The sequence below is a fragment of the Homo sapiens genome, chromosome 15, assembly GCF_000001405.40.
Source record: "Homo sapiens chromosome 15, GRCh38.p14 Primary Assembly".
Classification (NCBI taxonomy): domain Eukaryota; kingdom Metazoa; phylum Chordata; class Mammalia; order Primates; family Hominidae; genus Homo; species Homo sapiens.
In genome coordinates, this window is record NC_000015.10 from 98,683,599 (window position 1) to 98,704,679 (window position 21,081).

Here is a 21,081-nt window from a genome sequence, read left to right on the forward strand (position 1 = left end):
GTTTTTCAGATGTTAGAGATGTTATGAATTGCAATCAAGTCGGTATCCTCTTATATAAGTGCATCTGACAAGCCCATTTCACAACTACATCTCATCAGTCACAGTTGGATGGCAAGGTTTATTGTTTAAAGTTTTTGTTTTTTCTTTTTTAAGTTGGGAAAGGAAGACAGATGGTTTCAGAAGCCAAGAAAGGGCACAAAGGCGTGGATATTTGGAAATCGGGACATAATTCACCATTCTTCTTAATTTTTTCTGATCTCTAAGACACTGAGACAGCTGTTAATTGAATTGCTTGTTCACAGTATTTGAGACGTAATGAAATGTGAGTGTCCTAATCACCTGGCGGGCGTAGATCTTTGGGATCCTCCTGGAGGCTTAGTAGGGCTGCCCTGAGCAGTATTGTCTTCTCCAGCTGGGCCTCTGAGCTGTACCATGTGCCCGTGCTCAGCCTCAGTCCCTCCCTCAGCCAGTTGTTAAATCACTTTGGACGTGTGACAGCCTCAACATGTCACAGCTTTAAAAGTTCAGATTTTAAAAAGGTAAGGAAATGATCTCCTAGTGAGACAACTTCTGCCTAAAAAATAAAAGCTTCTAAGACATAAATTCTGTGTTATGAACAACTTGCAATTTTCATAGTTTTCAGTTTTAGCTCTGGCAGCCTCTGATAGATCTTAAATATGTTTATCACAGCTGGAAAAATGTTTTATTGTCATCTTTGTTTATCATAATATGCCACCTACTCTGGTTGTGTCTTACAACTGTAGCTCTGTGGGGTTTTTTTTGTTTGTTTTATGCTTGCTAATGGGGGAGGTGGGGGGTGTGGGCGGATGAATATAAATGATACCTAGAAATTGAAATTGGAAAAAAAAATGTATTCAGCCAGTACTCTTTCCAGGTTATAGCTAAACGTCAGTTGGCAACCTCTATGCTGTGGTTTATTGAGTAACACTTAATACTTAGCACAGCCCTCAGTGAAGATCTTTTATGGCCTTTTCTGAATGTTATACAAACATAACTAAAGCTTATCCAGATGAGGACAGGGACCTTTCTTTCCTTCCTTTTTAAATGGAGCAAAATTTGGCCACTGGGTTGCTGTGGATGAGAGAGTAGAAGGAGAAAGGCAGTCATCGGGAGACTGTGTGCTGAGAGAGCGCATGTGGGATTTGGCTTCAGGAAGTCTGGGCTTGCATTCTATCCAGCGCTAATATTTAGTGAGTGTGATTTGGGGCAAATTATTTCGTCTCCCTGAGCTTCAGAATGTTTGAAACTTTGTGAGGAGTCTGACCCCACACTGTAGGCTCCCTCCATGTATATATTTCTTCTTCCTTTTCCTTTTTTTTTTTTTTTTTTTTTTAAATTTTTGAGATAGTGTCTCGCTCTGTAACCCCAGTTGGAATGCAGTGGCATGGTCATGGCTTACTGCAGCCTCAACGTCCCAGGCTCAAGGGATCCTCCTGCCTCAGCCTCCTGAGTAGCTGGGGTCACAGATGTGTGCCATCACGCCTGGCTAATTTTTAACATTTTTTGTAGAGATGGGAGTCTCACTATGTTGCCCAGGCTGCACTCAAACTCCTGGACTCAAGCAGTCCTCTCCCTCCAGCCTCCCAAAGTTCTGGGATTACAGGCATGAGCCACCATGCCCGGCTGGAACTGTTGGCTTTGAAGAAGAATGATGCTGTGCTTGCCTTTGCAGTCCTGTCACCATACTTCCTGGAAAGTGGGTGGACACGCTGGATGGTAGATGTTGAGTTCTTTAGATGCCTGGATGCTTACATGCTTTGTGTGGGTTCTTACTGGGGCTGTAACTTACTAGAGGACAGACTCCAACTTCTGCTTACTTAGTCTGGGGAGGTTAATAATAATCTAGGGCACCCGCTTCCCAGTGGGTTTCCATCAGTCTCCTCCAGCCCACTCTACTCTCTGTTAGCCAGCTGGGCACCTCTTCCTCTGTGTCCCTTCGGTATCTTCCCAGTGGCTCTTTCCACGACTGGCTCAGACCATGTGTATATCTGCTCATTGTCTGTCCAGGGTCCCTCCAAAGATGCCTCTGTGGGCTGGGCCCCTGGTGGTGCTTCCTCCAGATAATTGTTGAAGATGGAACAGGAGTGTGCAAGAACACCAGCGTGCTTCCAGTATTCAGGTCTAGCGGCAGGTCCCAGGCATCAGCGGCTCACCACTCCACCGCAGGTAGCCTGATTGCCCAGCCTTGGAGCCGCAGCCTCCTTGGGTGGTGTGGCAGCTGTCAGTGTCTGAAACCATTTTGAACTTTAAAGGGTGGTGTCAGACAGCAGCTATTGAGGCTACTTAAAAGAATTTTTTTAAATGTACGAGTTCAGTGGCATTAAGTACATTCATATTGTTGTGCAACCATCACCACTGTCCATCTCCAGAACTTGTTCATCTTCCCAAACTGAAACTCCATGTCCATCAAACAACTCCCCATTGCCTTTTTCCCCAAGTCTTTGGCAACCGCCATTCCACTTTCTGTCTGTAAATTTGACTGTCTGGATACCTCATGTAAGTGGACTCGTACACTATTTGTCCTTTTGTGACTGGCCCATTTTATGAGCATAATGTCCTCAAGGTTCATTCAGGCTGTAGCATGTGTCCAGAATCTCCTTCCTTTTTAAGGCCCAATAATATTTAATAATATATGTATGTGTGATAACACATTTATATAATGTCCATTACCATGTGGTATATATGCTTATCCATTTGTCTGTCGATGGACACTTGAGTTGCTCCCCCGCTTTGGCTACTGTGAATAATATGACTGTGATCATGGATATGCAAATATTTCCTTAAGTCTTTCAGTTCTTTTGGGTATATACCCAGAAGTGGAATTGCTGGATCATATGGCAGTTCTATTTTTAATTTTTTGAGGAACCACTGTACTGTTTTCCATGTAGACTGCATAAGAATTCCAATTTTTCCACATCTTGCCAACGTTTATTTTTATTTATTTTTTTAAATTTTTTATAGTAGCTATCCATTCTAATGGATGTGAGGTGGTATCTCATTATGGTTTTGATGGGACTTTTGAGTTTTAGCAAATATCAATGAAGTATTTAATTTTTTTTTTTTTTCTTAGAGACAGGATCTCACATTGTTGTCCAGGCTAGAGTGCAGTGATGTGAGCATAGTTCACTGCAGCCTCAACCTCCTAGGCTCATGTGATGCTCCCACCTACGCTTCCTCAATAGATGGGACTATGTTCCTGCGCCATCACTCCTGGTGAATTTTTAAATTTTTGTAGAGATGCGGTCTTGGTACATTTTCTAGGCTGGTCTGGAAGTCCTGGCCTCAAGCAGTTCTTCCACCTGAACCTCCCAAAGTGCTGGGATTATAGGCGTGAGCCACTGCACCTGGCTTATTTAAATTTTTATGGGTATGAATTCACTTAAAAGCTGAAGGTTTTGAGAGGAGAGGGAGCATGTGAAAAAACCTAAAGGTTTTGGGAGGAGGAGGAGAAGGAAGAGAGGGAGCATGTGAACAAGAGCAACTGATTACTTCCTTGTCATTCATTTGCCCAGTGTTTACTAAGCACCTGCTGTGTCTCAGACCTGTGCTGGTTTGGCCCTTGTGAAGGACAGTAAATACAGTGCAGTTCCAGCTGCGCATGGGATCACAGTCCAGTAGGTAAACGAGTGCCTAAACTTAAGAGAAATGAGTGCAGTTGGGGTCCTGTGGCGGTGAAGGGGCGAGTCTGCACCCAGGCGAGTGTTAAAGGCCTGGCCTAGAGAAGATGGGTGTTTTGATGGAAGGAGCTGCTGGGAAGCATGTGTACTCGGTGTCTTGGAGTTTAGAAACCTCAGTTGGCTCCATGTCTCGTCCTTAGTAAAGGAATATCGGGAGCTGAGACTGGATGTATTGACACAGGTCAAATCACAGAGTCTTAGGCCATTTCAAGGAGGTTGGATTTTTCTCTGGAAGGCACAGGGAGGTTTTGAAGGACTTAATGCAGAAGAATGGGCACTGTCAGGTTTGTGGTTTGGAAAGTCCGCCTTGGTAGTAGGGTGGAGGGTGCATTATGGAGGGCTAGACCAGGGTCCAGCCCCCAGCGAGATGCTGTGTGGTAACCAGGGGAGAGAGAGGTGGTGGTGTTAGAAGCCACGACTTGGCATAGAAGCCAAAGCATCCCCAGGTTGTCATTGTGTAATTAATGGTTAAGTTGGGGCAAGAAATAAAGCTCTTAAAAGTGTCCAGCTGTAGAGCTCTCTGCCTGTTTTTATCTTCAGATTTTTGTCTTTGCCATCTCTGGCCTCCAGTGGAAGGCCGAAGTTACTTAACTTCCTTGCTGGAAGCAGGGCTCCTCATGATTGCCAGCCCCTGTTTGGTAGTGGTCCTGGAGTGCTGTGGAAATGGGATACTTGGTGCCACTTACCTTGGGGCTTTGCTCCTGAACTGCAGCGGTGTCTTGTGCTCTGTGGTTTGTAGCATGGAACAGAGGCTGATGGGCGGGGAGTTTGAGTCCCAGTGATTGAGGCCCCCTGCCTGCCTGCACCTTACTGAAGGAAGGACATGGTGGCTTCTCAGTGTGCTCTCTGGTGATCTGAACCTAGATTCTTGTTTCACGGGTAGGGGGCAGGGTTTTGGATTCAGCCCTGGCCAGCCCTGGCCCAAGTTCATAGTGTCAGTAGTATAGTTCTCCCACCACCCCCTTCTCTCCTGCTCCTGTTTTCTCCCCCGCCCCTTCTCTCCTACTCTCCTTCCTCTCCCACTCTCCCTCCTCTCTCTGCCTTTCACTTCCCCCCACACTCTCTCTCCCCCGCTCCCAACTTTCTTTCTCTCTTCGACTCACCACACAACACACACCTGTGTGTGTGTGTGTGTGTGTGTGTGTGTGTGTGTGTGATGGCACTGTTATTTCATGTGTATACCTTTGCGTAGCGTTGGCACATGTGGGAATGCTATTATAATGCTTTCGTTGGGGGTCTGTGCTAACCACTGCTGAGTGTGCTTCATGTTTTCTAGACAGCATGAGACCAGAGCTCTCCACCTTGCCATTAGCTGGTGGGAGAATTTTGAGAAAGTCACCCAATTGCTCTTAAGTCCTCATTTTTTTTTTTAAATCTGTAAAATGGTATCACAGATGCTTATAGCTCAAGACTAGTTGATGAGGGTCTGTGACTCAAAAGGCCCCATAGATGGGGTTCAGAGGGCCTTTGGAAATGGCGTGCAAGCTCTTTGTAAGTGTATTTTTTTTGGAGAAAGGGCCCAGCTTTTTATCAGACATCCTGAGAGATTCAGGACCTAAAAAATAAACCTTGATTAATCTTGGAAGCCTCTTTTTACGCAGTACGCTTTGATTCATCAGTATATGCATGTGGATGGGTTCTCAGATGGCCTGATGTTTCTCCTCCTTCCTCTGTGTGGTGGGCGACGACTTTGGCTGCCCAGATGTTAACATCAGTAAGCAGAAGCTCAGTCAGTGTTAGCAAAATTAAATCACTCTGCAAAAATCAATGTTAGTGAAATTAAATCACTTGATCTTAAAAGCAGCATGAAATAGCAGTTTTTCATCTTCATTGTGCTGTTTTCCCACTCTAGATATCTTGCAGATTTTTTTTGGTTGCTTGGTTGGTTGGTTTTTGGCGTCCTTTTCAAGGACAAGCAGCTTTGGACAGTTGCACTACTTTTTTTTTTTTTTTTTTTTTTTTGACAGAGTCTTGCTCTGTCACCCAGGCTGGGGTGCAGTGGCGTGATCTCAGCTCACTGCAACCTCTGCCTCCCAGGTTCAAGCAGTTCTCCTGCCTCAGCCTCCCAAGTAGCTGGGATTACAGGTGTCTGCCACCACACTTGGCTAATTTTTATATTTTTAGTAGGGACAAAGTTTCATCATGTTATTCAAATTCTGACCTCAAGCCATCTGCCTGCCTTGGCCTCCCAAAGTGCTGGGATTACAGGCGTGAGTCACTGTGCTCAGCCAGTTGCACTACATTTTTTTTTTAGATGCCATTGTTGAGGATCCAGGGGTTTGTCATAGATTGATTAATCAGAAAGTATTAATCTAAAGTATTAGAATATATTGATTGCAGGCAGGGACCTTGCATAGTTTAAAGATGACTCAGAAGGCACATTAGGTTCTTGCCACACTTTGCTGCCATCACAGATGGATGTGAGTTGCCCCCTTATATAGGTCTCTCGGGATGCCCCAGTGGAGAACAGCATTGATGTTGAACAGATCCTGTCCGATGGAGAGATACCAGCGTTTCAGCCAGCGGTGTGAGTGAGGGCAGGGGCCACCTCTGAGGGTGCTTGCTCCCTCACACTGTCCTCACGCTGCCCTCAAGCTGTGGGCAAAGGAGAGGGATCCTGTGCCATCACAGCCCTAGAAGCAGAATTCCAAAATGTGGGCTCCTTTGGGTGTGGTTTGGGGGTCAAGGAGATAGAGCAAGTAAGGAATGAACTTTGAGGGTTTATGATCATTTTCATGATGATAATGACCTAAAAACATGCTTGGCTGGGCATGGTGGCTCATGCCTATAATTCCAGCACTTTGGGAGACTAAGACAGGAGGATTTCTTGAGTCCAGGAGTTCAAGACCAGCCTGGACAACATAGGGACACCCCATCTCTACAAAAAAATTAAAAAATTAGCCAAGCATGGTGGTGTGCACCTGTAGTCCCAGCTACTCAGGAGGCTGAGGCAGGAGGATCCCTTGAGCCTAAGAGGTCAAGGCTGCAGTGAGCCATGTCTGTGCCACTGTACTCCAACTTGGGTGACAGAGCAAGACTATCCCAAAACAAAAACAAAAACACATGCTTATGGTAGGCAATTAAAACAGGAGGTAAGGAGTAAACATGCCAGGCCCCTCCTCCTCTCCTCTGACTCTTCCTTCTTCCCCCCTGCTTCCCAAGGGTAAGCTTTGCAGATACTTGCTATGCAAGCAAAAATGCTATTCTTAGCCATCGTTTAAACACAGATTTGCAATTTGTGGTTTTTCATTTATATAAATTTTGGCTCTCTTCCTATAGCAGAATGATCTTTGTTTTTAAAATGATTTTAAGTATACAATTAATATGTGAATGTATGTTTCTTATGGAAATTAGAACAATACACAGTTACAGAGTAGAAGGTGATAGGTGATATAGCTCACCCTCTCCTCTTCCTGCTACTCTCCCCAGTCTGCTTCACTCCCCGGAAGGAACTACTGGCCCATCAGCATGTCTCCTTCCAGGCATTTTTTCCATGTGGTTATGTCCACCTGCATAAGAAACTGGGGGCGGCAGGGTGGGGCGGTGTTGGCGGGTCAGGCAGAAGCAAGCCACAGAGCAGTAAGGGTACTTTTTAAAAAAACATTTAAATAGATCCCTGTTGTCCTGCGGCTTACATGCTCATGCATACTCACTGTTTCTTTAAATAAACTTTTTCTTTTAGAATAGTTTTAGATTTACAGAAAAGTTGCCGCGATAGTCTAGAGAGATCCCATGTACCTCTTAACAGCTTCGCCTCTGTTAACATTCTGTGTCACCATGGTAATTTGCCACAGCTAAGGAACCAGCATTAGTCCATGACTGTCAGTGAACTAAACTCAAGACTTTTTTTGGATTTTACCAGTTTTGCCCAATGTTCCTTTCCTGGTCTAGGATCCTGTGCAGAATAGCGCATCACAGCACATTACATTTAGCTGTCTCCTTCACCTCTTCTGGTCTGTGACAGGGTCTCAGACTTTCCTTGTCCTTGGTGACTTTGACAGTTTCGAGGGACACTGGCCAGGTTTTGTGCACACTGCCCCTTAATTTGGAGTTGTCTCATGGTTTTTTTTGTTTTTTTTTTTTTTTGAGACAGAGTCTCACTCGTCTCCCAAGCTGGAGTGCAATGGTGCAACCTCGACTCACTGCAACTTCTGCCTCCCAGGTTCAAGCAATTCTCCTGCTTCAGCCTCCCGAGTAGCTGGGATTACAGGTGCCTGCCACCACACCCAACTAATTTTTGTATTTTTAGTAAAGATGGGGTTTCACCAGGTTGGGCAGGCTGGTCTCGAACTCCTGACCTCGGGTGATTGCCCACCTCGGCCTCCCAAAGTGCTAAGATTACAGGTGTGAGCCACCCTGCCCGGCCCATGGTTTTCTTATGGTTAGTCTGGGACCATGGGTTTTTGGGAGCAAGACCACAGAGCTGAAATGCCCTCCCTTCAGTGATTTGTCAGCATGACCTATCACCATTGTTGTTAACCTTCACCACCTGGATGAGGCAGTGTATGCGTGGGGACATACATCTATTTGCCCCACTGACATGAGGGTTGGATCTCTAGAAGAGGAGTCACTGTTCAGAGGTTATAGGCATTTGTATTTTTTGGCAGATGTTGTCCTTCAAAATGGCTGTACACATATGCTCCTCCCAAAAGTAGGAGAGTGCCTGTTGCCCCATGTCCTCACTCAAGCTTGGTGTTATTAGATTGGTAATTTTTTTGTGTGTGAATCTGTTAAGTTAAAAATATTTCTTTCTTTGGCCGGGCACAGAGTGGCTCATGCCTGTAATCCCAGCACTTTGGGAGTCCGAGGCGGGCAGATCACTTGAGCTCAGGAGTTCAAGATCAGCCTGGGCAACATGGTGAAACCCCATCTCTACCAAAAATACAAAAAAATTAGCTGGGCATGGTGGTGCTTGCTTTTGGTCCCAGCTACTTGGGAGGCTGATGTGGGAGTATCACTTGAGCCCAGGAAGTTGAGGCTACAGTGAGCCGAGATCGTGCCACTGCCCTCTAGCCTGGGTGACAGTGTGAGACCCTGGCTCCAAAGAAAAAAAGAAGATTGATTGAGATAGGGTCTTGCTCTGTTCAGGCTGGAATGCAGTGGTGTCATCATCATAGTTTACTGTAGCCTTGAACTCTTGGGCTCAAGCAGTCCTGCTCCTTTGGCCTCCCAAAGTGCTGGGGTTACAGGCATGAGCCACTATGCTCAGCCAAGCTAAAAATATCTTAGTGTGCATTTCTCTAATTGTCAGAAGTGTATTTATTTACCATACCCTGGAAACCTTATGTAAGATGATGGTGAGTTTGGACTTTCCAGTAACATTTGGAAACTGTTTAGTACCAAGCTCTCATTAACAATATAAACAAAATAGGGGTCTACCCTTAAGGAATCAAAGCCATTATCTAAAAGCTCTTTCCCGCAACAACTACCTGAGATAATGTCCTTGGTCATATGCCCCAGCATTTAAAAATGGAGTTAGTGAGAGTCTGTTGTTTACCACCTGATACATTGGTAAGAGCTGCTTGATGGTATGGGGACATCAGTAGGGAGGATATAGACGTAGCCACCCCCGCCCTAGATAGTAGGGGCCTCAGGGTGGGGTAAGCCTGGGTGGGGGAGGTATGAGTGGTGGAACAGTGGGAGACCCTGGATCCTTAGTCTCCAGCGTGATTGCATTTTGCCAAGGCTTTGTCCCATGTCCCTTTGTCCCGTGTTCCATTTGCCCGTGGTGTTGCCTAGAGAGCATGGAGGGGCTGGTGGAGCATGCTCTGTGGTTCCCTAACCCAGGGCTGTGTGGGGAGAGCTTGCAGCACCCCCCTGACCCCATATGAACGTCCTTGCTATTTCCTGCTGTGCCATCCAGCAACTATAGGATGCTGTGCTGTGGCTGGGAGACCTGTTTGGTCTTGGAAGCTGGGTCCTGGATGAGCAGAATGAGGCAGGCATAGAGGTGATGTTGGCTACGGGCAGGGGAGCGTTTGCTTTGCCTTGGAGTAGTGCCATTTCCATGTAGAGGGGCAAGATTTACCACCCTGTTGTGGGGATTTGAGACTTTGGGTTTTGTTTTCCTTTACACCTTGAGCTTTGTTCTACAGCAGGTCCCTGGGAAGACTGGTCCACAAAGCTGCTGAATGGGGCTGCTGTCCTTCAGCCCTGCCTCCTGCTGCAGAATGCAGAGGACGCTGTAGACTTGCTTGGTGGGTGCCTGGGGTTTTCTGCCTCCCTGGTGCACTGGGCACAGCGGCTTGCCTGCCTTTTGGGTCGTCTCCACCTCCCAGGGATGTTTTTGTTCCCTGATCGAATGACCTCCTGTTTTGTTTGTTTTTTGAGACGGAGTTTTGCTTTGTCACCCAGGCTGGAGTGCAATGGCATGATCTCGGCTAACTGCAACCTCTGCCTCCCGGGTTCAAGTGATTCTTGTGCTTCAGCCTTCTGAGTAGCTGGGACTTCAGGTGTATGCCACCATGCCACGCTCATTTTTGTATTTTTAGTAGAGATGGGGTTTTACCATGTTGGTCAGGCTGGTCTCGAACTCCTGGCCTCAAGCAGTGCGCCTGCCTCAGCCTCCCAAAGTGCTGGGATTACAGGCGTGAGCCACCGTGCCTGGCCTGACCTCCTGTCTTCTGTTTTTGCCCACTGTCAAGGGTAGACTTCTTCAAGGCTGTACTTGTGCTATCCTAAAGAGGAGTAATGGGAGACATTTCTGACTTTGTCAGCATGCTGCTTGGCAGCACCTGCCTCGTTTCTGGTGACCATTTGGAAATGTGTCCTTTATCTGGTAGCAAGGAGCATTTACATTGATCCCTATGCACTTAATTGGCATACTTTTATTCCTCTGGATTTTTTTTTTAAAGCATAATTGTTCGTGTCTACATGATGTAACATGCTGCTGACTTTTAAGCAAATTAACAGAGTTCGTGCTGAAGCGCAAGGGTGCAGGGAAACAAAATGGGAGGGTTATTAAAGGGGTGAGGCGGCTCCTCAAAGATGTCACTGCACCATTCATTCTTGTGTTCCTGGCCCATGGCAGGCTCATTAATCCTCCACGACAATCCATTAGCATGCCTGTCAACCCTTCAGAGAAGATGAGCCATAGGAAGGCTTAGGGATCCCCACTTGAACTGCTGTGTGGCTCTATGAACATCCCCACCTTCCTGGAGTGAGGTGGTTGTGGCCACCTGACTTTCCCCATTTTTTTTTTTTGGACCTCAGCCTCCAGCGCTCCTGGGCCAGACTCAGGGTGGGGGGGATGCAGGTGCCAGTGACTGACACTTGGCCCCTCACACTTCACTGCCTGATTTGCTTTAAAGGCAAGGGTTGCTCATGCTTGTCTGAGCTCTCCATCTGTTTGAGAATTATATTGTTCTCAACTGGAACTTGTAAAAGAGAAAAAAATGTACTTCTCAATTTCCATGGAAGAATATAGATTTTCTGGTGGGGTGGAAACTTTCTTAGCATGAAGGGATCTTTGTGTGATCTGCGCATCAGCACTGAATAAAGAATGGGTGCGCCGAAGTCGGGGAGGCCGACTTTCCTGTGGCTTGCTGGGGAAAGTTTGAACTGTGTGTAAGCAGTGCGTGGAAGGAAAGCTAAGTGTGGAGATAACGAAGGGAATGGGATTTAATAGAAACAGGGTGTGATGAGTGGCAGTTGCCTGATGAAGTGGAAATCTTGTGTTCCAAATTTGTGAGATCCATTTCTGTCCTCTAAGGAAAATGTTGTATGTGCAGGAGGAGTTCATGTAGTTGGGTTAGATTGTGTTTTCTGTCTTTATTTTTTTTCCTGCCTCTATGGGTTGTGAACAAAAACAAGAATTTGATATTCTGCAGTATAGTTAACTCGTGCAAACAGTGTATGCTTTTCAGTGGGATATAAGGTCTGAAATAATAGGATTTTCCCTAGTAAGTCAGTTTCATTCCTTTACATGTGGGTTATGAGATACAAAGTGAAGCTCTGTAAAGCTTTTTACGAGCTCCCTGTGTTGCCCTCCTTTGACGGGTCAAGGCATTGGGGTTGACAGAGGTTTCTACTCTCAGAGGCTTTAAAGAGGTGCCCACTCTGGTGAGATGGCTGTCAGCATGCACGATGTGTGTGAGAGAGCACCTCTTCAATCATATGCACCTGGCTGTAGCATCCTTGTCAGCCTTAAGAGATACCTCCAAAGCGGAATTTTCTACCCCTAGAATCATGTGAGGTCATCTCAATTTAAGCCCCAGCTCTGCTCCCTAAATTACCTGAGTGATCCCAGGTAGGTCATTTGCTCATTGTTAACCATCAGTTTCCTTAGCTGCAAAACAGAGCAGATAACACCCCAAAAGAGTTCTCATAGTAAATCACATCAGGCTTACACAATCTCAGAAATGTGCAGCTCCACAGGAATCTTCATTACCTCTTTAGGCAGTCCAGTCGGGTTTCAAATGAATCCTACTGTCTGTTCTTATATGGAACCACAGTCCCTCACCCTGTGTTGATCTAAGTTCTCTGTTTCTCTCCTCCAGCAGGGTCATAAAGAGCCTGACCAGTCCCCCTCCCTGGAGACCTTTGTGTGCTGGGTTTCTGCAGCCGTTCTCCATGAGAAGGGACTTCTGGTCCCTGCTCTCACTTGGATGTTCTTCCACTGACTTATCTCTCTTAATGTGTGGAGGCAGAAACCCAGTTTTCAGGGTCTCTCCCCTGGCCCCTTACTAAGTCTCCCTTAGGTACAGTCTAAGACTGCCTGACTTTTTCTTCTTTTTTTTTTTTTTTTTTGGCAGCCACAACATCACATCGTCACATACAGAAATTATATCCAATTAAATCTCCTAAGTCTTTTTCACACCTCCTACATTTGTGCATTTCTTTTTTTGCACCCAAGTGTCCAAATAGCATTTATTTCCTCTCTATTGCAATTCCAATCTGTTGATCTTTTTAGCTCTTGACTCTGTCATCCAGTGTATTTGCCATTGCTCCTGGAAACTTGTCATCTTTGAATTAGATAAACATTTTATCTGTGCCATCGTTCAAGTAATTGATAAAAATGTTGAAATCTACAGTACTCAGAAAGAGACCTGTGGCCTCCCACTAGAGACCTTCCTTGGTCTGTTCATTAATCAGCACTTTGTAGGGTAAATTGAACATTTACTAAGCTATTCAGATGTAGTTCATATTTCTTCACCTTGTCAACAAAGAGATCTTAGCAAGGCATTGTAGACCAAGTATGTGTTCCTGGAATATACATATTAAGAAAAAATCCTTATGCCAAGAAAATGGGCACATCCCCAAAACCCAGGTTATTGTAGTTTACGGCTTCTGACCCAGGGCTTCACTTTGTAGCAGTGTTTTTCTTCTGTTTTTGCCTTTGGCTGATACCACTGCTAGAGTGCAGATAAGAGAATGTTACTACCAGGGGGCTTGAGTGTCGGGCTATGATTGGCTGTCATCTGGAGCAGAGTGGGACTGAGCTGCTCAGGAGAAAGGTCTTCAGGTGATTTTTTTTGGGAAGCTAAGAGCACTGGTTTTAGACATCCTCTCCTGGCTGATGATGGGATTGGCCTTCATGGGGCTGCTGTCTGGCTGGGCTGGTGGGCAGAGGTTCCTGTGGGTGTGGATGGAGAAATCCTAAATGCCGAGGGTACCTGGTCTTAGTAGAAATCGTAGGATGCCTCAGTGAAGAAGTCAGGGATGCGGATTGTCCTCCGGATGCTTGGATGAGCGTGCAGTGGAAAAAGTACTCCTTTGGGGGAAGAGGTGAATCTGGAGGTGTTAGAGCAGAAGAGTAAATGCAGAAGTTGTAGCAGATACAAAGGCTTTGGCAAGAGTGGGAGTGATCATTGAAGGGAAGGCAGGGGCTTGCTGGGACAGGCTGGAGCCGTGATGGACCCTCATAGTAACCCTGCTGCATTTTACAAAGGAAGAACTGTGTTGGGGTACAGATGTGCCAAACACTCAAAGTTAGAAAATCAACGCAGTCGGTTGTGGCTTCTGCCCTTGAAACATCAGATAGTGAGAACCTGCCACTGTTCAGTTTGCAGAGTGGTTGGTTGCATACAGTGTTTTAGCTCTTGCCCACTCAATACAGAGGTTGCATGCGGGCGTCCACCTGCTCCGCCACCTCTGCCTGCTTGTGGCTGTGTGCCCAGAGCCCATTTCCCTGGGGAGTCAGTGCAGCACTCCTGGGGGACCCTTCTGTTTGTGTCCTGACGAATCTGACTGTGCTGGATGCAGTCCCACAGCCACACCTGGTATGGGTGGCATCTTTAAAGGCCTGGCCTGTGTGTGCTGTATCTGCAGCAGAGCTGTGGCCAAACCTGCTTTCCTTCCATCTGGGTTCCCCTTGGTTCTCGGTGGTGGACGGGCTGTGTGGTCTCCCCTCAGCTGTCCACTTGCACTTGTGTTAAAATGCGGCAGAACTTTCCCTCTATACTTAAATTGTGGTGAAATACGTATGACATAAAACTTACCATCTTAACTTTTTTTTATTGAGACAGGATCTCATTCTGTCACCCAGGCTGGAGTGCGGTGGCGCGATCTCTGCTCACTGCAACCTCTGCCTCCTGGGTTCAGGCGATTCTCATGCCTCAGCCACCCGAGTAGCTGGAATTACACGCGCCCGCCACCATGCCTGGCTAACTTTTGTATTGTTAGAGATGGGGTTTCGCCATGTTGGCCAGGCCGGTCTTGAATTCCTGGCCTCAAGTGATCCCCCTGCTTCGGCCTCCCGAAGTGCTGAGATTACAGGCGTGAGCCGCCGCGCCTGGCCTTCCTTTTTTTTTTTTTTTTAAGAGATGGAGTCTTGCTCTGTCGCCCAGGCTGGAGTGCCGTGGTGCGATCTTGGCTCACTGCAACCTCTGCCTCCCAGGTTGAAGTGATTCTTCTGCCTCAGCCTCCCGAGTACCTGGGATTACAGGCGCCAGGCACCATGCCTGGCTAATTTTTGTATTTTTAGTGGAGATGGGGTTTCACCATGTTGGCCAGGCTGGTCTTGAACTCCTGACCTCGTGATCCGCCTGCCTCGGCCTCCCAAAGTGCTGGGATCACAGGTGTGAGCCACCACGCCCACCGGCCTCCCATCTTAACATTTTAAAGTGTTCAGTTTAAGTACCTTTACACTGCTGTCCAATCAATCTCTAGAACACTTTTCATCTTGAAAAACGGAAACTCTGTACCCATTAATAACTCCCATTCTCTCCTACCACAGCCACGGGCAGCCACTTTCTGCTGTCTCCGTGAGTCTGACTACTTTGAGTACCTATGAGCAGAATCCGCAGGATTTCTCCTTTTGTGACTGCCTTATTTCACTTAGCATAATGTCCTCAAGCTCCATCCAGGTTGTTGCATGTGAGAGGATTTCCTTCCTGTGCATGAACTAGAGTGATGCAGGGACTGACCTCTGGCCATGTGATGGGTGGTTGGTGATGGATCCAAGAGGTAGCTGGTCTCTGAATACTAGCCCAGTCCTTTTCCTTGCTAGGAAAGTCCCCAGATCAGATAGAAAGCCTCAGTATTTCAAGAAGCTTCTGTTTTGACACCACATCCATGAAGAATCACACTGCAGGGTAGGGGAACAGATGAGTGGGATTTCTACACTGTTATCAGCTAGACTTAGATAACTGGCTAATTGAAAAGAGTACAGGTCACTTAAGGAAACTGGAGCATTGTAGGGCAAGGTAAAGTGCTTTTGAAATGAGGATGTGAACTGTAACTGGAATGATGTAATGTGTTCTACAAAATGAAGCCAGTGAGAGGACAGGGGACACAGGGCCGACTTTTATTTAGGACATTTGCCTGGTTCTGAGAAGAAAGTTGAAAGTCACGAGAGAGAGGGAAAGGAAGGCAGAAGGAACTTGGTTTTTGCAGGTGCCTGCTCAGCATGGGCCTTGCCCCAGCTTGGCTGTACCTCACAGCACCATCCACTGGCTCTACAGTCTGTCCTTCGGAGGTTTAGGGTGCTGTCTCATGCACAGTGGGTGCTAGGTGGTAGTGAGGACAGGGTGTGGGACTAGGCAGGTGCTGCCCCTCGGAAGGCCTCATGGTGAGGCAAAGATCTCTGGCTCCGAGGGACTCTATCTCCTGGTGTCCTGCTTCATCGAGAAGCCAGCCACCCATGGGAACTGTGGATAATTAGAAAGGCTTAGAGGCTCTTCTAAGGGTGTTTTTTGAAATATGGAGACCTAGAATATTGGGCTTTGGGATATTTTAAGATGAGAAAGGCATTTGGAGTAACTGTCAGAGCAGATAAAGTTGTTTTTATGAAGATCCGGGAAAACGGTTGTTACAAATACAGCTCTGCACCAATTCTGCGCCAGTCTGTTTGGCTACAGATGCTTTCAGTGGAGGGGACACTGGGGCTTGTGTTCCCTTTAGTCTTTGAATTCCCGTTAAAGTTTCCATGTCTTAAGTGGCGTGGCAGGATAGAAACATCTCACCCATCTTAGTAAGTTCTTTGCTGTATGTAGCACTCTGGTTTTAACGTTCTGAGCCTTCAGGACTGCCCTTGATGTGTGCATTTATTTTGTTGATATGCATGATGTGTGGGTGGCTCTGCGGCAGTAAAACAGTTCACATTCAAATTACACTCGGTTTCTAATTTCTGTTCTCAGAGTTTCCTCTGTAATGGAAATCTCTTACATTCTTATCATTGCCTTCAGTTATTGAATGTGTTAGGTGGCCAGGATTGCTGTCTGTGTGAAATGGGAATGTATATATACAACGTAAACATGTTCTGATTGACACGTGAAGATAAAGGGCTTAACATGAATTGTGTCGGTTTACACTTACACAGAAAATTCTACTGTAATAAACTGAAGTGTCAGTAGTGTTTGTTATCATAACATTGTCTTTTTCCCTCTTTTCTGATCTCTGATTTTTCAATTAGGAATGAGGCCTAAAGAAACCCATGCTCTCTCTTCTCTGAGCGCAAGGAGGGTGTGCTGAGACCTTGAAGGGCACAGCATGGGAGGATCATATACTAGGGAGAGTCTGTCTCCACCCCATTTTTCTTCTGCTTTGCTTTGTTTCGTAGTTTCTTCGGGCTTCTTGGGGGTTTTCTGAGAGAGAGAATGTCAATTTGAGAAGTAACAGGTGCACAGGCTTTACCTGCACCACACTGCAGATAAGGTGGGTAGGGAGGGTAGTGACAGGTGGTGTGGTGGGTTATTCAGTTCTTTCCTAGGGCAGTGGGTCTCACAGGGTGGTGCTTAGGCCAGCAGCATCAGCATCACCTGGGTGCATATTAGAAACAAATTTTGGGGCCTCACCTCTTGCGTTTTAACAGTTCCTTCAAGTGGTCCTGATGCATGTTGAGGACTTTGAACACTCCTCCTACAAGCAAAGTGAAGTTGACCTCCCACACACTTGTCTCAGTCTGCTTTCTAGCATCTGTCCCATTGCCTTTGTTGTTCTCCCCGCCACACGGGCTGCACCCCTGGGATTCCCCCAGCTGCCACCAGGCATCAGCTCCAGCTGCCTCCCAGGGTGTGCTCCTGCCTCTGCTTGGAGTACCCTGCCTCCCACTCTTCCTGGCAAGACCCTGCTCATCTTTCAGGGTCGTCTCTGCTGAGAAGTCTTCCTGACCTCCTCGGAGATAGGGAGTTGTGGGGCCTTGTCTTTATGTTCCCAGGGTTCTGTCTATTGCGCTATTAAAACTTTTTTTTTCATTTAATTTGCCACTTGCTAGAGAGATGGTTGTTCTGCCTTCGTTGTGCAAAATTCAGTGATACACTAATCCTCTCCTAACCTCTTAAATCATTTTGACTTTCACAGAGTGATAGTGTCTAGAGAGGGTTTTTGTTGTACTAAGTTATTGGTTCCAAAGAATTCATTTTAAGAGGAGTAAAGAACTACTATAGTATGCCGCTTACTGAGACAAAACCGACTTCTCACATAAGCCCAAAGGTTTTGTTATGTTGGATTTTACCATTAGAGTTAAAGATGATGATTGGTTCACTAATGTGCTTTACCTTCACAGTGTGCCTGTAGACCTGTAGTAAAAGAAGGCTAATTATGTTTCCTGATGTCTTTTATTTCCAACTATAAGCTAAGCCTATCTCATTTTTTTTTTTTTTTTTTTTTTTTTTTTTTGAGATGGAGTCTCGTTCTGTCACCCAGGCTGGAGTGCAGTGGCGTGATCTCAGCTCACTGCAAGCTCCGCCTCCCGGGTTCATGCCATTCTCCTGCCTCAGCCTCCCAAGTAGCTGGGACTACAGGTGCCCGCCACCACACCCGGCTAATTTTGTTTTTGTATTTTTAGTAGAGATGGGGTTTCACCGTGTTAGCCAGGATGGTCTTGATCTTCTGACCCGTGATCCTACCGCCTCGGCCTCCCACAGTGCTGGTATTACAGGCATGAGCCGCCGCACCCGGCCAACCTATCCCATATTTTTAAAGAAGAGTTGATCAAGTAGTTACCCATTTTAACTAAATGGATAACTATAACATTCTTTAATGGAATTGTTGACAGAGGGATAATCAGTGTTTTTGCTAATTCATGCCACCCTCCTTTGTTGTATGTTAGTAATATTTACATTGGGGCAACAAAATAGATCAGTATTTCCATTAATGTTTACTTAATAACAGCTGCTAAAAGGTATTACTGTTTGCAGTAACACAAAAGCACTTACCTGATTCTTATGCCAGCTTCTATAGGGTAGGTAGTGACAGCCCATTTTGCAGGTGAGGAAGATGGGGTTTAGAGGTGAGGTGTGTCTGCCTGAGAGCAGGAGCTGGTAAATGGCACTCTGGGCTCATGGGAGTCACGCTGTTTTTTTTTTTTTTTTTTTTTCCTAGGACCTCAAGGTTGTGTCTAAGACATAATTTACAGTTCTCGTGTAGGTCTTCCAAATACTTAGCTACACAGCTTTGGGGCGTTTTCTCAGCCAAATGCTTTTCTTTAGCCCTTCTCATATTAACATTTAGTTCTTAGGGATTTATTTTCAAAATATATATAGCTTGTATATGCCATTCACCTAAGTTGTTAGAGCAGACATTCTGCCTCTTGATCTTTAGAAAATACCTAAGAGTATTTTGTTAACAGTACTCATTTCAGCTGAAAGACTTTATTTTAAAATTTAATTTAATTTTATTATTGTTTTTTGAGACAGAATCTTGCTCTGTGTCTCCCAGGCTGGAGTGCAGTGGTGTGATCTTGACTTGTTGCAACGTCTGCCTTGTGGGTTCAAGTGATTCTTGGGCCTCAGCCACCCAAGTAGCTGGGATTACAGGCGTGCACCACCACGCCTGGCTAATTTTTGTATTTTTAGTAGAGATGGGGTTTCAAACTCTTGGCCTCAAGCGATCTACCTGCCTTGGGCTACCAGAGTGCTGGGACTGCAGGCATGAACCACTGTGCCTGACTTTTAAGGCTTTCTTTAAAATGGCATCTTTTGGCCAGGTGTGGTGGTAATCCCAGCACTTCTGGAGGCTGAGGCTGGAGGATTGCTTGAGCCCAGGAATTGGAGACCAACCTGGGCAACATAGGGAAACCCTCTCTCTGCCAAAAAATTAAAAAACAAAACAAAACCTAGGTGTTATGGTGTACCCCTGTGGTCCCAGCTGCTTGGGAGCTGAGGTGGAAGGATTGCTTGAGCCCAGGAGGTCGAGGCTGCATTGAGCCACGATTGTGCTGCAGCACTCTAGCCTGGGTGACAGAGTGAGACCACGTCTCAAAAAACAATAAAAAATAAATAAAATGACATCTTTGGAGAAGTGAATTCTACCCAGGTACCAAGCCCCTGCCTGCCCCTCCCAACTCCCTTCCCTGACTCCCAGCACCCCCATCTGTTTTGGTTCTGCTGTTGCCATTCTCTGGCTTTGGGGACTTTGCTGAGGCCCCACTGTCCCCATCTTCCAGCTGTACCCTTTCTCTCTGCTTCCCTGCTTGTCTTATTCTTTACAGGGCTGCCTGGGATCTCACATTCCAAAAGTTTTTGGGTTTGTTTTTGGATCATGCCAATATCGGTTGCTTTGAGAAGGGAGAAAGGGTATTTTGCATTTTCCTTTTAATCATCGGTGAGTAGCCACAAAGGGTGTGTCTCTCCCTCTTGTGCTGTGTTTACTGTTTACTCCCTCGGTGCATGAATTATTTCATGGCACCAGTGGAGCATATTTTCTTCTCTTTCCTGTTTGTGGCTTGCGCCTCCTGAACGCTGCTATCATTCATGGTCCAGCTTGGTTTTCTTTTTCACTGTTTCTATCACAAAACCTCCTGAAGACCAGTGGTGTCAGTCATAGGCTCCAAAACAGCTGGTTCCTAGGCCCTGCCTCGTGCTCTGTGGTTTGGGCTTGTCTTTTCTTCCAGAGTAAGTGGGTAGCTTCTTCCTACTTTTTTTCTCTTTTCTTCTATAAATGGGAGGAAAAGTGTGAAGTATGGAGACTGCTCTTTCATTTGAAGGAAATTCACAGTTCCAGCTCTGTAGTGTGGCCTCTGTTAACTAGTGGTCAACACTGACTGTGGAAGGGGGGCCAGATGGCAAAGTGAAGCAGATTCTTTCCTCCTGTCTGCATTTTGATTGCAGTATGAAGTTCAACTTGCTTCAGTCTTTGTCTTCATGTTGTTTCACTAGGTACTGAATTTTGTGATCTGTTGGAAATAACAAGTAAATAGATGCCTAACGCTTTATACAGGTTGAGCCTGTCTAATCCAAAAATCCAAAATCCAGAATGCTTCAAAAGTTTCAGCTTTTGGAGCACTGACATGACACCACAAGTGGAAAATTCCACACCTGACCTCATGTGACGGGTCACTTTTCGAAACTCAGGCACACGACACACAGTTAATTTAGTGTCCCCAGGGGAAAAAAGACCCTCCCGGCCCCCTTCAGCTGTGATGTGTCTTTTCCACACATGCCCAGATTCCCTCAGACACCTCCACAAAGGGTAATAAAATGGTTCGTTGTATACAAACTTTGTTTCATGCACAAGATTATTAAAAATATATAAAATGACTTTTTAGAGAAGCGAGAAGAGAAATGAGAGGTAGGGGAGGGAGGGAGGAGTTGGGGGACAGTTGGGGGAATAGTTGAAGCTAAGGTGTTTAGGCAGAGCTCTGAGGAGGTGACGTTTGAGTGGAGACCCAGATGGCTAGAGAATGGGGCAGCCTCCTGAAGGAGCAGAAGCACTGTGGGCGGCAGGGTATCACAGAGGAGGAGCTCGGTGTGTTGGAGGTTGGTGAGTCCCGTGGAGTCTTGTCAGATGGTGTTGGGACAGGGACGGACCGTGAGGAGGCTGGATCATGGGGAATGTGTTGCTTTAGGCCAAGCTGGAGTTGATAGTGGCTCAGATCAGAGCTAAAGTAGTGGAGACACACAGACATTGAAAGAATGATGAAATTCACTCATTCTGCGTGTGTCCCATGTCATGTGTCCGCTGCACACCAAGTACTGTTTTAGGCACTGGTGATATAATTGTG

At 46.2% G+C, this 21,081-nt stretch overlaps 1 protein-coding gene across 7 annotated transcripts in view, besides 3 other annotated features; it reads left to right on the forward strand.

Annotated features, from left to right (window-relative positions):
- The window catches only part of IGF1R (insulin like growth factor 1 receptor), a 315,992-nt gene that overhangs the window by 35,060 nt on the left and 259,851 nt on the right, over window positions 1–21,081 (forward strand). The window lies entirely within an intron of this gene.
- Window positions 16,630–17,131: an enhancer, noted in NCBI's record as "H3K4me1 hESC enhancer chr15:99243457-99243958 (GRCh37/hg19 assembly coordinates)". NCBI's record gives its function as "activates a minimal SCP1, AML or CMV promoter by ChIP-STARR-seq in naive H9 embryonic stem cells {active_cell/tissue: H9 hESC(naive)}" and the evidence as "EXISTENCE:reporter gene assay evidence [ECO:0000049][PMID:30033119]".
- Window positions 17,132–17,631: an enhancer, noted in NCBI's record as "H3K4me1 hESC enhancer chr15:99243959-99244458 (GRCh37/hg19 assembly coordinates)". NCBI's record gives its function as "activates a minimal SCP1, AML or CMV promoter by ChIP-STARR-seq in naive H9 embryonic stem cells {active_cell/tissue: H9 hESC(naive)}" and the evidence as "EXISTENCE:reporter gene assay evidence [ECO:0000049][PMID:30033119]".
- Window positions 20,719–20,899: a silencer, noted in NCBI's record as "fragment chr15:99247546-99247726 (GRCh37/hg19 assembly coordinates)". NCBI's record gives its function as "represses an EF-1alpha promoter that drives an FKBP-Casp9 reporter gene in an ReSE screen in K562 erythroleukemia cells {active_cell/tissue: K562}" and the evidence as "EXISTENCE:reporter gene assay evidence [ECO:0000049][PMID:32094911]".